The 16,597-nt window shown below is 49.5% G+C and overlaps 1 protein-coding gene across 6 annotated transcripts in view, besides 3 other annotated features; it reads right to left on the reverse strand.

Annotated features, from left to right (window-relative positions):
• Positions 1-16,597, reverse strand: part of FRMPD2 (FERM and PDZ domain containing 2) — a 118,337-nt gene that overhangs the window by 75,319 nt on the left and 26,421 nt on the right. For 4 of the 6 annotated variants that reach the window (NM_001018071.4, XM_047424652.1, XM_011539327.3 and 1 more), the window contains 7 exons: positions 12,907-12,972; positions 10,284-10,475; positions 8,483-8,615; positions 7,728-7,815; positions 6,114-6,246; positions 4,605-4,676; positions 238-412 (listed from right to left, as the gene is read on the reverse strand). In NM_001018071.4, coding sequence (NP_001018081.4) covers positions 238-412; positions 4,605-4,676; positions 6,114-6,246; positions 7,728-7,815; positions 8,483-8,615; positions 10,284-10,475; positions 12,907-12,972 — 859 coding nt within the window. 6 annotated transcript variants of the gene reach the window in all.
• Positions 1,529-2,030: an enhancer, noted in NCBI's record as "H3K4me1 hESC enhancer chr10:49441449-49441950 (GRCh37/hg19 assembly coordinates)". NCBI's record gives its function as "activates a minimal SCP1, AML or CMV promoter by ChIP-STARR-seq in primed H9 embryonic stem cells {active_cell/tissue: H9 hESC(primed)}" and the evidence as "EXISTENCE:reporter gene assay evidence [ECO:0000049][PMID:30033119]".
• Positions 10,628-10,851: a silencer, noted in NCBI's record as "fragment chr10:49450548-49450771 (GRCh37/hg19 assembly coordinates)". NCBI's record gives its function as "represses an EF-1alpha promoter that drives an FKBP-Casp9 reporter gene in an ReSE screen in K562 erythroleukemia cells {active_cell/tissue: K562}" and the evidence as "EXISTENCE:reporter gene assay evidence [ECO:0000049][PMID:32094911]".
• Positions 15,187-15,688: an enhancer, noted in NCBI's record as "H3K27ac hESC enhancer chr10:49455107-49455608 (GRCh37/hg19 assembly coordinates)". NCBI's record gives its function as "activates a minimal SCP1, AML or CMV promoter by ChIP-STARR-seq in primed H9 embryonic stem cells {active_cell/tissue: H9 hESC(primed)}" and the evidence as "EXISTENCE:reporter gene assay evidence [ECO:0000049][PMID:30033119]".

The raw sequence follows: 16,597 nt of genomic DNA on the forward strand, positions 1-16,597 counted from the left end.
CAGCAAGCCACAGAAACCCACATCTTACACTCATTATTTCCTGACAACCTTCTGCACTTGCTTGATGCTTTATCCATGAGTACTTGAAGCCCTCGTCATGCTGACTAATGTCTAGGCATACAAAGGGAGGCACCCAAGTCTCAAACAGTTTTCCCAGAAGAAACAGAGCTCAGGTACCCAGATACCTGGGTTACCAGAGGCACCAGGCCAGCTGTGAGCTGCCCAAGAGATGCTTACTTTTCATATACGCCAAGCCAAAGTAGGTGAGTTCCTCGAGGTTGGCAAAGGATGTCACGGCATTGAAGACAGCTCCCACTGTTGATTCAACATCACATTTTACCTCCAGGTGCTGCCCGTTCAGCAGGACCACACAGAGGTCCCTGAGAGCCAAATAGGATTTCCCTTTTTTGGTCTGAAAACAACAACAGTATCAATTATACTACAATTATAAGTCATTGAGCCTTTAGTGTGTGCTGGTTACTGTACTAAGCACTTTACACACATTGTCTCATTTAATTGACAACTCTAAAAGATAAGTATATTTACAATTCCTATGCAGCAGATGAGAAACTAAGGCTCAGAAATGGTAAGAGTCTTGCCTAGGGTTTGCACAGTTTGTAAGGCAGGAACTGGACTCAAATCTGAGCCTTCTGCCAGGCTCAGCAGGGGCCAGGAAAGCTGGGAGGCCTGTCTGACTGACGTCTTTCCCATGCGGAAATTCCAGCTCTCCCTTGGGCTCTGCTTCCTAAGAGGGTCACCCAGGGCCCTCATCAATGAATCATATGGCCCTGGATCAATCTGTCGATCTGACATTGTCTCCCCAGGTCCCAGCAGAGCACAGGTTAATTAATTCTAAACTTCAGAGAGAATTTGGGTGGGTGCAGATCCAATGAAGAGACAGAGCTGGAGCAAGGGGATTACCTAGACTCTAGAAATGGGTCGGCAGAGCCAAAGAGCCTCCAGAGTCTGCCTTCTGCCTCTTCATCTCCCACCACAGCCCCACCCAGACCACTGTTGCCTTGGTTCAGCCTCCTGGATAGTTCATCACCAGGCAGCCACCTGGGCCATTCTGTCTGTGTCTTTGCACATATGATACCCACTGCCCCTAGGGCTCTTCCACTCCCTCCCCATGTGGCAAACTCTTATGGATCTGTCAGGTCAGGCTCTGGAGCCCTTGTCTGTGGCTCTTCCTGAGTATCCCCATGTCCCAAAGCCCAGCCTGGACCTCCCCCAGGAAGTTCTCTCTAGAAGGCAGTCATGGACAGACACTAGCATATGTGGCCTTAGTGCCATCGAGACCATGCCTGTGGTCATACCCTGACACTCCTGGCACCCAGGGGCAGCCTATGCACTCCAGGGGCCAGAGCAGATCTGAGGACCCTGTGGGAGGGGGTTTCACACATGCCGCTGGGCAGGGCTGATCACACAGGCATACTCCATGCCACCTTGGTTCCTACACTTGCTGCACACCTGAGTCACCTGAGAGGTGAGGAGACCACTCCCAAGATGGTTCTGTCAGTCTGGCACAAGGCCTAGGAAATCAATATCTAGTAAAGCTTCCCAAGGTGATTTTGCGAGAGCCAGGAAGGCTGGGAGGCAGGTCTGACCCGCTTCTTTCCCTTGCAGAAATCCCAGCTGCTTCCTGAGAGGGCTGCCCAGGCCCTCAGTGATGAATCGTATGCCCATAATGGGCCCCTGCTTGGGTCCAGTGCTCTGAAGCTGCCCTCTGGACACTCTTAATAGTTGTGTTTGGAATGTGTGTTTTCTGAGTGAAGTCCCCAGGACAATGAGCGAGTATACAAAGCTTTGACTTTCAGCAGTCCTGCCTCCCCTCCTCCTTGGAGGGTTCTGGCTGCCAACTCCTCTGCTCTCTGAATCCCCATGCCTTGCCCAGCCTCCCCTGCCCCTTCATCCTCCCCACACAGTGACCTCTGCTGCCCTCCACTGAGGGCAGCCATGGCTCTCACTGCCCCCTAGTGATGCCTTCCTCAGGGGCTGGTGGAGGAAAGGTCCCATGCAGGCACACGCACCCAAGGCATGTCAGAGCAACCATGACAGTGGCTGTCCCCACCCTGGGCCAGGAGCACCAAAGCTCTTTCCCTGGGCAATTCAGCAGGGACAAGCATCTCACCCACCCAGCTCCCAAGCCAGGTACCAAACGCATCTCCATGCAAAGGGTGTAACCCCTTGGGGGACCACTGATTGTCTGGGCTGGGACAGCAGAGTCATGGGAAGGGAGCTTGGGCTTTTTCACCCTGCGTGGGGCATGGTGCATGGATCCAGCAACTGGTGTGGCAAAGTCACAGAGCAGGGTCCCAGGTACCTGCAAGGGTCTCTGTTCACCTTGTGAATATCCCTATGCCCAAGAGAATGTGACATTAAACAGCAAATAAAAAATAAAAATACCATGACATGATGAGACAGAGAAAGCACATATAGAGAAAAAAGAAAATGTTTTATATTTTAGTTCCTGTGGTGGCTGCTTTTGAACACAGGGTGCTGCCTCTTCATGTTTCAGTGAGCCTAGTTGCCAGTGTTTCCCACGGGACAGCCATGCTGTAAGGGGAATCTGTTTTGTTCCCAACACCCACAGGGAAGCAGAAGGAAAGGGTGTGTGTACCAAGAACTCCACTTGGAGGGAGAGATAGGGAGCTACACTGACTGAGAACCCTGGGGACAGGAAAGGAGGGGCTAAAGCAACAGGGGCAAATGCTCCAGCCCAAGCCAGACAAACAGAGTGACACAGGAAACCCTGGGAATGGGGCCTCCTGTTTCCCAGGTAAGGGACAGAGGTCTAAAAAGTATTTTACTGAGGGAGCCCTCAGTCACCCTCATACCCTTCTTGCATCTTCCTAGAGGCAAGGGTCCAAGGTCCCCTCTGAGGATTATAACTAGGGTCCTAGACCTGGTGTGTAGGTCAAGATGCTCGCCCCAGACAGAACTGGGACAATAGCACTGTTCCCATCGCCTGGAGTCTTGGTACCTAAGCACTGCACAAGCATCCCTGCAGAGCGGGGGAAGCTGGCCCCCATCACAGCAGGTCTGGCCCATCTACCCGGTGGGTAGAGGAGTCTCCAGTCACCTAAGCCATGTGACCACAGGGATGTCAGGAAGGGGTCCCTGGGTGAATTGTCCCTTCTTCCCCTCAGCTGAGGGCAGGTGGCTTGAAGGGGATGGGCAGAGGTGGGACTGGGCTGAGGAGGCCATGGCCCTCTGACTTGCAAGCCCCATACAGGAAGTGTCCTCAGAAGGTTGTAGACCCCCAGAGTGAGCCACCCTGACACCCCAGCCCCTCACACACCAGCCTCCTTAGCTTTAGTATTTTCATGCTTTGGGTAACTCAATCTTGCATACCTGGGGTGTAAAAGTTATCATCCCACTTCATATTTTTTGTGCCCATGCAGGTGGACCAGGCACACAGTGGGTGCCCGTCAGCGTGTGCTGCATAAATTGATGCAGCTGGTCATTGCATAGGAATTGGAGGCCCCTGTCAGGCAGGCATCCCACGTGCACTGACCAGTTTGCTTCAACACTTTCAGGACTCAGGTGTAGAGGAAATGATGTCAGTGCACTGCAACAGACATCCCCTTGACAGGGGGGTGCATGGAAGCTGGGATTCAATGGGATTTTGCTGGAGTGAGCCAGAGGTGGGCTCATTGGTGCTCTTCAGGGCAGGAAGGACAAGTGGAGGGCGATGCAGGAGCCTGGGAGGGGAGAGCCTCTAGCCATGCCCCACTCAAGCCCTGCCTCCAAGAGGCCCTGAGCAGAGGCCCAGAAAGCCAAGTTGACAATGTGTGCGCTTCCAGCCCTGGGGGTTGGGGAGATGGGAAAGGCTCACATCCAAATACTCAACATTGACTGAGAAGCTCTCGGCCCCAACTGGGCCCTGGACAACAGAGATATGGGCCTGAACATGGACAGATATGTTCTGGGGAGCTCAGGGTGAGACCAGCCACACATGGGGCTCTGCAGGGGACGTGCTCAGGCTCTGGGGCAGGGAAGGGACAGCCCACACAGCATTTGCCCTTCCTGAAAAGCCCACAAGGCTCACTCCTTGTCTTCACCCAGTCTTTGTTCACAAGATGCCTCCCCAGAGCCACTTTCCTATCTAAAAGAGCACACTCTCCCTCCTACCACCTGCCATGCTCCATCCTCCTCCCTTCTTCGTTGTTTTTTTGTTTTTGTTTTTTGTTTTTTTTTTTTGCACAAATCACTACCTGGCATTCTTTTATATTTATGTCTTTGTCTGTCTTTGCCGCCTCCTTCTAGAATGTAATCTCCACATGAAAAGGACTTTGTTTCATTCGCAGCATAGATGGGGGCCTAGAATAGTGCCTGGCACCTGGTAGATGTTTCACAGCATTCCCTAGCTGAGGCTGGGAGGGCCAGCAGGACTCAGCTGGAAGTCACGTGGGGCCCCTTTAACAGGCTGAAGGGAAAACAGCAGCAGTGGGAGGCAGTGATGGTTCTGGCAGAGGTCTGGGGGAAACTGAATGCCACTGGGGTGTTCCCATGTGAGACCCCATTCAGACACAATTGGCCTCCCGCAACTGCCCACTTCCCTCGCCACCCTCCATCCCTGCCCAGTCTAGCCCAGTAGTTACCACAACCGATCCCGGCAGATGTAGTGTCATCGGGGCCTCTCCAGCCAACAGGATGAACTCTGGCCTGGAAAACTGGAGGAAAACAGTCACATATGGTAGAGAAGACAACAGATTCCAGGCTTTGGGTCTGGGCTTCCCCCATGATGCACCTCTGCAGCCCCCACCAGCATACATTCCCCAGAGCCAGCAGAAAACAGGCCAAGATGGGGCTGACCTGGGCTGAGGCCCCAGCTGAATGGTACATCTTGGAGCAGAAGTCTTACAGGTGGGTATAGGGTATCAGCAACATTCTGGCTCTTAAGTTGGGTACAGGGGTGTTCGGGGTGAATTATAAGTTTCATAATTTACACAGAACTCCATCTTTTGTATGTATCAAAAGTATAAAATGTATAATATAAATATAAATGCAATAAAAATACTTGAAAAAACAAAAATACTTTTAGATTTAGATGAGCTGAAATGTTTTCTAGCTCTAGATGTTGAATCAATAGCTTAGTGGGCACCTCTTGTTCTCAGTGTGTTTGTATTACACTTGACCCAGAAAACACTGCAATACCCATCACTAGCTAGACCCAGCTATCCCCCTGTGGGGTGCATATTCTCAACCCATTTTACAGGTGAGGAAGTTGAGGCTCCTCACCTTTAAAAAAAAAAAAAAAAGCTTAAGAAGCTCACCTGAGTCATATAACCAGCAAGAGATAGGGTTGGGTAGGGCTTCTATAGTGCCCCCAAGGGTACCTAGCAGGACTCTTGTCCCAAGAGGCCAAAATTCCAGCCCAGAAGTGACTTGTGTCCTGCAAGAGTTCCCAATAGAAGTATCTCTAGTGAGTGATCAGGAAGAAAAGCCAAAGGAGGTGGACAAAGCCTCTCAGAAGCCCTCTTCACGCCCTCCACCAAGTTCATGGAGGCCAGAGAAGGGCCAAGGAGGACAGTGCGGGCCAGGCCAGCGTATGGGAACCATAGGCCAAACAGGAAGAGGGACATCCTGAGGCTATTTGGAGCTCAGCTCAGTCAAGGGACCTTAACTAACTTTGACAGACAGACAGGCACATTCCGCCTAACCCTATTACCCTCTTAGGGTTAGCCAGCTGGAAGGATAACTCTCTCCTCCCTATAGAAGCCCTCCCTGCGGCCCTGGATCTATGCTCCCACCTTTCACCTGTGCAGAAGGCCCCTTCCAAACACATTCTGCCTTGTCAGTTCTCGAATCATGTAGCACGCTCTGCCACCACCCTGCGCACCGGTGGCTTCCTCTAGGGTGGGACCCAGCATCTTTAACCCTACATCTTATACAGCGTCCCCCATAGAGCCTTCCCCAGTGAGGCTACTCAGTGAATGCCTATGCCCTAAGTTGCAAATTTCAGGTTTATGTTAGTCCAATCCTATAAACCTCAGCCCAGGGAAGTTGTCCCCTAGAAGACCCTGCCCATTTTCAGCCACCGTGCCAGCCACCCACAGCTCCCTGCTCAAGCCTCCTTGAGGAGTGTCCTTCAGCCTTATTTTGCTTACCTTGCTCCTTCTTTGCAGAAAACCCCTCTGAGAAGGAGTTGTTGGCCATGAGCTGTCTGCTGCCGAGTGCACAGATCCAGAGCTGAGCCTCCGGCCCGCCTGCTGGTCCTGGGGATCTGCTCCTGGAAGAGCGCTGGCCAGGGGTTGAGAAGGGGTGAAGCACTTAGCAATGGCAAGGGCTTCCATGGCATGAAAGACCACCCGCACAGGGGCTCAGTTGGGCAGGGTGCACCCACTGATGCATGTCACCTTCTCCCCCACCTATGGGGGAGTTATATCCATTTTTCAAGTGGGGGAAGCTGAGGCCTGGAGAAGCCAGGCTGCACAGCCACTGGGGTGGGGTGGGGTTGGAGGTACAAGGCACAGTCGACTTCTCCACCCCATGGCTTTACCTCTCTGTTTGTGGTGCCAGGACCCCAGGTCTAGAGCAACCACCCAGCAGGTCATGGGACTGCAGCAGTTCTGGCTTCTTTAGAATTTGATATGTTGTTCAAAATATTTTGACAATAAAATATATTGTTTAAGGAATCAGGGGGTAAAAATTGTTTTCATTGGGAAAATAAAGTTTTAAATGGCAGGAAAAAGTATTGCAAGATAAACTCTACGATATCCAATCAGGGCGTCAGCTGTGGATTTGACATCAACTATGACAAGACACTGTTACAGCCCTCAACAGGTCACCATGTGAATAAATAAATCACCCAAACTTCAAAATAAACACCGTTCCAGGTCCAGGAAGATATGAGCCCATCTAGGTTTTGATCTGATTCAAGCATCCTAAGTTAGACAATTGCAAAAATGTCCACAGTTCTTCTCCCTGATCTGCACCCTTTGCAATCCGACTTTGCAGCCTCCTGCCATCAAGAGATGGAGTCTATTTCTTACTCCTTGAAATGGGGCTGGCCTTTAGGCCTGATATGGCCAACAGAATGAAGTGGAAATGATGGAAGACCAGTTCTGAAGGCTTTATGCACCTTGCCGTCCTCTCTCCTCTCTCTCCTCTTTCTCTCTGTCTCTCTGTCTCTCTCTCTCTCTCTCAGTTCCTCTCTGTCAGTTCTGCCATTGTCACGAGAACAATCCTAGGCTGACCTGCTGGTGGAGGAGAGCCAGAGCTTCCCAGACAATGGCCATTCACCCCGCAGGAGAAGCTGGATAGCCGAGCCGAAGACAGTCAAAAAGGCAGGAAGGCTTTCAGCAGAGTCTAGAAGACCTCCCAGCTGAGCACAGCCTAAATGACCAACTCACAGAATCATGAGCTAAATTCATAATTGTTGCTTTTAGCCACTGTGTTTTGTGGTTGCTTGTTATGCAGCATGGTATGGCAATGGATAATGGCAACAATATTGAGGCATGTTGTTGCTCCGCCACTCGGCCTGAGTATGGTTCCCAGAGGAAACAGGATGCCCTGACAGCACAGCTGCCACCAGGCCCCTCATTATCTTGGCTTCGGATCTGCTTAAATGTGGCTTCTTCATCTGTTAATGGAATAGCATTGGCATTTTCTGGAGGAGCAAGAGGCTTCTTACTAATAATCAGTAAAGAAATAAGGTACCATAGCCCCCACACCTATGTCTCACATCAAGTTCACAGCACCCTTTAGGCCTTGCTGCTTACCGGTTAACAAGGAGGCTGCAGTGACTGTGTGTCAAGGTGCTCCAATGGGGCTCTGGTGAGCTCTGGGTCTCCGTGCTTCTTTCTGAAACTAATCAAGCAGCATGGTAGAGGGTATGGGCAGAAGCCAAGATCACGGCTTTCTTAAATCAGGCATCTCAGAGCATGAATGGCATCATGACTTACTAGCTGTGTGACCTTGGTGAAATTCCTTAGCCTCTCTGAATCTGTTTCCTCATGTAGAAAACAGAAATGACAGTTACAGAGGGTTGGAGGGAGGGTTACAAGGGAAGATAAAGCCTAATGGCAAAGTGCACTTTGTTTTAGAGACAACAAACAATAACATTAATTTTTTTAAAAAAAGCTCAGATTTAGTTGAAAAGTAGAGAACAGTAGATTTGAAGATTATTCCAAAAACCACTCTTTTAACACACCCAGAACAATAACTGAAAAAAAAATCAAGTTTTTCTTTTCTTGTTGTTTGTTTCAATTTGGATTTTCTCAACTTGGACAGTTAGAACTCATTTTTAAAGTTTTCATTTGATATAAATAACTGTGTTGTGTCCCCAAATAAGACTTTCCTGGGAACACAGGTGAGTCCTAAGCTCAGCCCCTTCTCTTCAGGGGCTTCCTGAAAGAGTGGCACTTACATAGGCTTTCTCTGCCATCACAATGTGGATGTGTAGCCCATACAGGGCAGGAAAAAATAGAATGGGTACCATCAGCCCACGCAGGGACTGCTTAGGGCACGTACCCACCTCTGCAAGGATGCAGACACTCCGGGGCCTGTGCCGCTGGGCTCTCGCTGCTTGTCCCACGCAGCCTCTTCCTGAGCAGGTAGCTTCTGTTCTGCTGCACAGAGGAGCTTTCCTCCACAACTCTTTTCTCCACCTGGGGGTCAAGTGCATCACACATCCACATCCCAAGATAAGGAGGGGGCGTTTTTATAGATACATGCAAACTGGCTGTCAGACTGAATCAATGTGGAATTGTCTGCCCTATACGGTGACCTAAAGATGTGTTCTCTGGCACCCAGAATGTGCTCTGTGCCCACCCCCTGCATGCACCCTGAAGGCACTTCACTCCCCACTCCAGACCTGCACACTCACACACATCTGTGCCTTTGCTCATGCATTCCCTCCATGGCTACAGCCTCCCCAGAAGCTCCTCTGTGCCCACAAGACCCAGAGCTGTGTGCTTTCTACTTCTAAGCCTCTCTACCTCTGCCGTCTGATCACCTTCCCTTATCACTGCACTCACACCTGGCTCTGTTGCATCATGTTCCATGAGTGTGCTGCTTGTCTGTCTCCCCCAACATCTCTGTGTGCTTTATGCACCACCGTAGCACACCTAATGCAGTGCCCAATGAATGTTGAATACGTGACTGACATCTACCTTGCAGATCCCTGACGGAAATGTTGCAGGTCAGTACACTGTCTATCCAAGGACAATGGCACACCAGTGGATGGTAGACCTCAGTATCTTTCAAATAAATATAGTCCATTTCCCCCACCAAATCCTCTGGCTCAATTCATAGGAGCCACATGTTCCTATGCCAAGAGAGAAGGGGTCCAAGAAGGAGGCCTTCTCTGATGGCAGAGGCCTTCTCTGATTGACTGTTGCCGCTGTCCACCCTGCTGTCCCCACATCTCCATCCACTTTGGCCCTCATTAATCCTGCTCTCAGCTCTCCAACTTGTCCCTGGACAAGTGCAGCCACTCAACTGGCCTCTAGCTTACCTGTCTCTGGTTCCTCCCAAATACAAACTTCCTTACATTTTGTGCCATAGGCACCTCACTTGCCCATCCTATCCCAGCTCCACTCAGGTCTCATGGGGGACCAACTCCATGGTGCCATTCCTGCAACAGAGCTCCCCAGGGGGCCAGGCTGGGCCTGTCTCCAGCTGAGACTATATCCTTCAACTTGTCAGCTGTACTACCATCACTCCCCTCTCCCAGGAACATTTCCCCAGTAAATAACTTGCACAAGAATCCCTGTCTCTGGGTTAGCTTGGAGGGAATCCAACCTAAGCCAAATGCCTCCCATGTGCCAGGCCCCTTGCTGCACTCTGTGGAGTGCACAGGGCAGCAAGCAGCACAGTGTGACAAGCACAACAAAGGACACCCCACAGGTATAAAATAGCAGAGGGGAGGGTACCCAGGGACCACAAAAACGAAGTCGGGGAAGGCTTCTGTGCAGAACCTAGAGTTGAATTTTGATAAGAAAACTGAATCATGGGTTCTAAACATTATTGCTTTATGTAAGGACGCACTTGCAAAGATGTCAAGGGTCTTAGCCATGTGACAAACTGGGGCTTGCCTAAAGGTCTTTGTTAGCACTGCCCAATAGAACTGCAATGACAAGAATGTTCTAGATCCACCCTGTTCAATAGGGTCATCACCTGCTACGAGTGGCAACGGAGCACTTGAAATGTGACAGATGTGACTGATTAATTTAATTTTTTATTTTATTTTAGTTAATGATAATATAACTAATTCAAATTTTAATAGCCACACATGACCAGCAGCTACTGCTTGAAAAGCACGGTTCTCTACTGACCTCAGAAATGGTACCCAGAACCAAGCCAACCAGCCTTCTGATGTGGAGACCAGCAGGGGCTGGGTAGACAGACACTTCTTTCTCATGAACCCGACAAGCTTCCAGAACCGACTGCAACGTGCACCGCCTGTGAGGCTGGTCTTCACACATGGTCAGCAGGATGGAGTGCAGGGGCTCGCAGAGCTGCAGGGGCTGGAGGCAGACAGGGCCGGTGAGAGGAGAGAGCAGCCAGAGCTGCCACTACGAGGCCAGCACCTTGTCAGGCAGGCCTTGGAGACATGGAAACGGGTGTTCCCACAAGCACCAGAGCAGATGCCTGCCCCTTCTGGAGAGTTTAAGGACAGACACAAGATCCATCACTGAGGCCGCAAAGTGCGGAGCAATCATCTCTGCAGCAATTCTGTGTTGTCTGCTGCTTTCTAAACCAGAACATCCTTCTGCCCAAGCACATGCTTGGAATGCTCATGAAAACTAGATGCTTTGACAAGATGGATTTCCACCTGTGCCAAGCACCCCAAATCAAACCAGAGGTCAGCCTTTCACTCAAGTTCACCTGCGTAGCTTGTCATTGTATCCAATCACTCAGGGGGTCTCACTTGGCCTTTCCCCTGGAATGTGAGCTCCTGGAACATACAGACTGTGGCCTATTCCTGTTCACTTCGGAACAGCCAGCAGTCAGCACAAATGCTCAATCGTTGTTGGTTGAACTTTATGTCACGTGTACACATCGAGCAAAAGAAAACAGAAGCATCTTATAAGCATTTCCCTCATGCATTTAAATGACCACAATTCATAGGAGAAAGTCCTCAAATTCAGATTCAAAATCAGACTTTTTCTCAAGCTCAACACACACTGCAGGTCACTTTCCAGATAAAGGCTGCACTACCGCTTCTTGCTGGGGAGCATCAGCTGTGAGCACCTATCTCTGTGTACAGCCAAGCTGCTGAGTCCTGCCGTCACAGTAAATCCAGGCGTCTTTTGTGCCTGGTGCTGCACAGCCACACCAGATACAGTCCCTGCCTTCAGGAAAATAATGGTGTGATGAGAGAGACGGTCACTAAAAGAGACAAAGACCATAGAGGATGACAAGGACTTTCACCTTGGGAAGCACAGGCCATGGCACTAATGTAGAGGAAGGGGCTTAGCCAAGGCTAGAGTTAACCAAGAGGAAAGTGGGGAGTGAGGTGCTGGTGAAGGGATCCGTGTGTACAAAGGCACGAAGATGCAGATGAGCTGACATGCATCTGAAGGGAAGGGGATTATGAGCAGGACAGGGGCCTGGGGGAAAATAGCAATGTGGGGTCCCTTGTTCAAAATTATTAAGAATTCCAGGACAGTGATAGCAGAGCATTAAACTAAGTGCAGGACCCTGTGCTATGACACAGGGTCACACACTCAGGACACACACCCAGGAAGCCGGTCCTGATTATGGCAGAGTGCCAAAGGGGAACCAGACGGGAGCAGGGACCCTATCCTAGGCTCCAGGTGTGTCTCACTGAGAAGTCAGAAGGCAACCCCACGGCCAGTGAGGCGTTACAAAAGGTTGCATGTGAGAGTGGTCGTGAGCTGGTCTCTTAGAAAGACCACCCAGGAAGAGCCCGGATGTTGAATTGGAGAGGGTCGGGGTGAGTAGAAAGAAAGGCAGGAAGGAAGGGAGGAGGAGGGAGGGATCCAGTCTAGCCAGGTCAGCTAGGCAGGGCTCTCCAGCAGGTGTTCTTGTGGCACCAGTCTCTAAGGAATTGTTATAGTATCAGATGGAAATGTACACAAACACTTCTATTCTGTAGTTGAAAATTGTGTAAAATATTAGGATATTTTTATGTAGTTCTTTTTTGAGACAGGGTTTTGCTCTGTTGCCCAGGCTGGAGTGCAGTGGTTTGATCTCCACTCACTTCAACCTTCCCCTCCCGGCCCCCGGGGTTTAAGCGATTCTCATGCCTCAGCCTCCCAAGTAGCTGGGACTATAGGCATACACCACCACACCCAGCTAATTTTTTTATTTGTAGTAGAGACAGGGTTTTGCCATGTTGGCCAGGCTTGTCTCGAACTCCTGAGCTCAAGTGGTCTCCCCACCTCAGCCTCCCAAAGTGCTGGGACTATAGGCGTGAGCCACCATGGCCAGCCAGGATAAAGTTAAGTTTCTAAGCTTTAAGCCTTCTTGTAGTTTTTAAAAAATGACTCTAAAAAATCTTTGAGAGGGAGATATTGTAGGGAGCATTTACCCAAATCTATTGAGCCCAGAAGCCTTTTTCAGGGAAGCATCTCACTTTGGGAAGGGTTGTTTTAAAGCCTTTTTAAAATATATGTAAATCTGTATCTTCAGTGTCTATAAAATTCTCTAGCTTGCTATTAATACTTCCTCTGAGCGGAGATGGCCAAACTTATCCTGCTTGCCAGTCCCAAATTGTGGCTGCCTGGAGTGCTATGTTGAGTGGGATTCTGAGGTTGTTTCTGCACTAGCAGGAAGGAGTTGTGTGATAAGTTCTCAACGCCTGCCTAGGACCTAGAGGACGGGAGAGTGGCATTATGTGTGCTCAGTAAATGTGGTCCCTGCCCAGGAGAAAACCACTAAATAAACCCAGAGACACAGCCCGGCAAGACTTGGAGTATCTTGTTTACAAACCTGATGTGGCGGAACATGAAACCCTGCTGACCAGTAGAGGGTCATTCCTAAAGAATAGACATGCATCTGCCCAAAAGAAGAGTACATGATTAGATTTCAATCATCTCTGTTATTCCATGGCTCTGCAAGAAAAATACAATCCAATTTCCACATGAACAGACACTGTTGTCTGGCGAGTCTAGCACCATCTGCAACTCCCTTAACCCTTGTTACCTCCTACTCCGGAGGCTAGAAAGCCAGAAATTTGCTTTCTAGCAGAAACCATGACACTCAGTTTTGGTGAAAGGCGTGAGAGAAATCTGTTAGGGGGCTTCTGATAAGGCTTTTGCTTTACTGACAAAAGGACACATGTGACTGGCCCCACACTTTCCCCTTTGTTCCTGCCTTCAAAATTGATGTGATTGATACATGGAGTCTTCGCAGCCATTCCGTGACAATGAGGCAGCAAGCATAGGACAGAAAGCCAGCCACTGGGGAAGGTAGAATGGAAATACACAGCCTGGATCCTTGATGACATGAAACGGCTGCTGACCAATCCCTAGACCTCTTGTTTAGTAACTAACAACCATATCTTTGGCCCTGGCCATTGTATTTTAGGCCTTCTGTTTCCATGACACATTACAGTTCAGCCTGATTACAAAGCACCATATCTTGTCAAGAAGCAAAATGATGTCATGGGAAGAGCATTGTTTGACATCTCTGACCCTCAGTTTCTTCATCTTAAAAATGAGTATTCTGCCTGAATTCTAATAAAGATCAAGTCAAAAGTACCCGAAGGTGGTAATATTAACTATTATTATTGTTACCATTATTATTATTGGACATAGAGCACTTACAATATACCAGGCCTTGTTCTAAGTCTTTTACCCATATAAACTTATTTAGTCCTCACTGCAATCCTGTGACGTAGGTACTTTAATTGTCCCCACTTGTCTACATGGCCTCTGGATTATACCAGTCCTCAATCAATGTCAGTTGGTGTTTATTGTGGGGCTTCTATTATAACTGACAAGGCACATTTCCCTTAAGATCTCTCTTCTCAGGAAATGATTTTTGGGATTTTAGAAGGAAACAATGAGGTAATGAAACATTGCATGTAAAAACACACAGTTATTTGAGCCCCCCACTTGGTTTAATACAAGTGGTTTTAGTTTTTGGTTTTGGTTGTTCACATCTCAAGGTCAAGATGTGTTCAATGTCACCTGTGACAACTCATTAGCTCTCATCTTTGTTTGAAATTATATCCTGAAACCAGCTCCCACCCCTCAGATGAACGTGCATAGATACCATGCAAGAAAGTTCACAAGCTGCACCCCCATTTCCAGAGAAAGGACCCAAAGAGCAGGGGCTTGGTAGGCAGCCACTTCTTTCTCATTACCCAACAAGCTCCCAGAACCAATTGCAGTGACTGCCACCCGCAAGGCTGGTCTTCCCACACGGTTAGCATGATGGAGCATAGAGACTCATGGAGCTGCAGGGACTGAAGTGCAGACAGAGCTCCAGCATCCTGAGCACTGCCAGAGGCACCACCCACACCTGGGAGCTCACCTGGATTCTAAGGGCTCTGTCTAAAAGTGTCTTAGGGCAAGGCCTTGGCCACAGTGACAAAAGGCTTCATCCAAAATTCTAAATTCAGCTCACTGGTAGACACTGCCAGTAGAGGCTGGTGAGAAGGATTTTGAAGGCAACTCCTGGCTCAGTGGGAAAGAACACCATGTTTGATTGGTGATGTCTGCCATGAGCATAGGATGGGGTACTGGCAGCACAGATGACTTGTAGTTAGAGACCTGCCCACACCTTCCACCTGACCTGCACCTGAGGCTAAGATGCCAAGTAGTTGGGGAAATATGTCAGTGCACTGTTTAGGGCAGATGTTGGTCCAAGGAGAGGGGTCTGGGTACACCCTCCCAGCACCAGAACGAGGCCCAGGACTGGGGGAGGATTCTGAGCACAGCCTGTCCAGGGACCATTCTCCTAGCTCCTAGCTGCCCAACCAACCCCTCATGGACCCATGCCAAACTGGATGAAGAGAGGAGCCTGTAATGAATGGAAAAGAACAGTGATGAACAGAACTGAGTGTTAGAGATGCTGAAAGAGATCAAGTTACCTGGTCACTCTGCCTCCTTGCCTAATAAACAGGGCTTGAGGCTGGTGGCTTTGGCCCCTTAAAGCCCACTCCACTTGCCATGCTTCATATGCCTAGAGCGCTAAACCAATGTTTGGTTAGTTCGGAGCTCAGTCCCTCTCATACTGGATCTCTTCCAGCTCACACTCACTCTCATCTTCCTGGCCAGGACTCAGCAATACATTTAGCCAGTTCTTAACTCAACCTATTAGTCTTGAATCTACTGGAGTCCTCGTGCCTCTGCCTGGAGGAAAGTGTGCAGGAGGAAGGAACATATTATTTTCCAGCTCAAAGACGCTCTGGGCAGAGAAGTGACTGGGCCTTCATAAGGTACTCAATGGAGGCCAACCTGCAATCAGGAGGGTGATGCCTGATCCTAACCAGTGAGTACTGGGATGGTCAGGAGCACTCAAATCTGTGTTAGCTCAGGTACATCAGAAAGTGGAGCCTGAGGCAAGGGTTAAGTGCAGACCCTTCACTCAGGGGCTGCAAGCCCAGGGCAATGACAGTGTAGAGAAAATGGGAAGGGAGACAGGGACCAATGTGATATGCAGGGTCAAAATGCTGGCCATCTCCTTGCAACAAGCAACAGAGCACAGCCTGAAGTGCAGCAGACAGGGCTTCCTAGCACTCAGGACTTCTCTAGAAAGCTTGCAAGGCTTGCACAGCACAAAGCCATCCACAAGAGAAAGAGGAGGGAAAACGTATCCTCTTAGGTCCCCTCCAGACTCTCATTTACCACTGGCTAAGTGTCCCCCATAAGAAGGTAACTCCCCTGCATTCTCAGGTTGCATTGGCGTGGTCCTTTAGCAGTCACACAGAAATCCCAGTCCCAGGGGTCAATATGTGACATCTTAGCTGAGTCCAGGGCATAAGAGGCAACTCAGTGTAGGTGGAGCCAAGAGTCCCAAACAGACCTGAGAGGCACGCAAGTCTGTGTCCAATCCAGGAATCAGTGATTCACCCCTGGGGTCCTGGCAGTGTAAGAAGGTATGTGGGCCTGGATGCCAGAGTGACTTCCAGGATTTCAGGGGGGAGGGGGTGCTGGAGCTGGGGTCACTGGAACTGGAACTCTTATGCTTTCACTTTTGTGGGCTGACTTACAGACATGTGGACCCAGACAAACCAAATCTGGAAACCACCACATCCCCATTCTCTGCCTTTCAGAGCCTGGAGGGAAAGCAGCTCCCATTCCAGAATGCCTCCCGAGGGTAGCAGCATTTTCACATCTGCACTTTTCTCATGAAAGGGCGAGGAAGAAGAAACAGAACTCTCTGCGGAAACACCCACCATGCCCCATCCAGTGTTGTGTGGCTGCCTTGCACCATTCTCTCCTTTGAGAGAATTAAAATTCTCTTTGAAATTAAAAATGATGTTTACTGGAAACTTCTGCTGTTCAGAAGCAAAACATGTCCATTGTTGAAAAACCAAAAACCTCCACTGATGTTGCCATCCAGAAACAATCACCGCAGACACTTTGGTGTATGTATTTTTAGAACTTCCTCTCTCTCTCTCTTTCATCCTCTCTAACCAAACTTGGATAATATTATGTGCACATATATTGAA

The sequence above is a fragment of the Homo sapiens genome, chromosome 10 (genome assembly GCF_000001405.40).
Source record: "Homo sapiens chromosome 10, GRCh38.p14 Primary Assembly".
In the NCBI taxonomy this organism is placed as follows: Eukaryota; Metazoa; Chordata; class Mammalia; order Primates; family Hominidae; genus Homo; species Homo sapiens.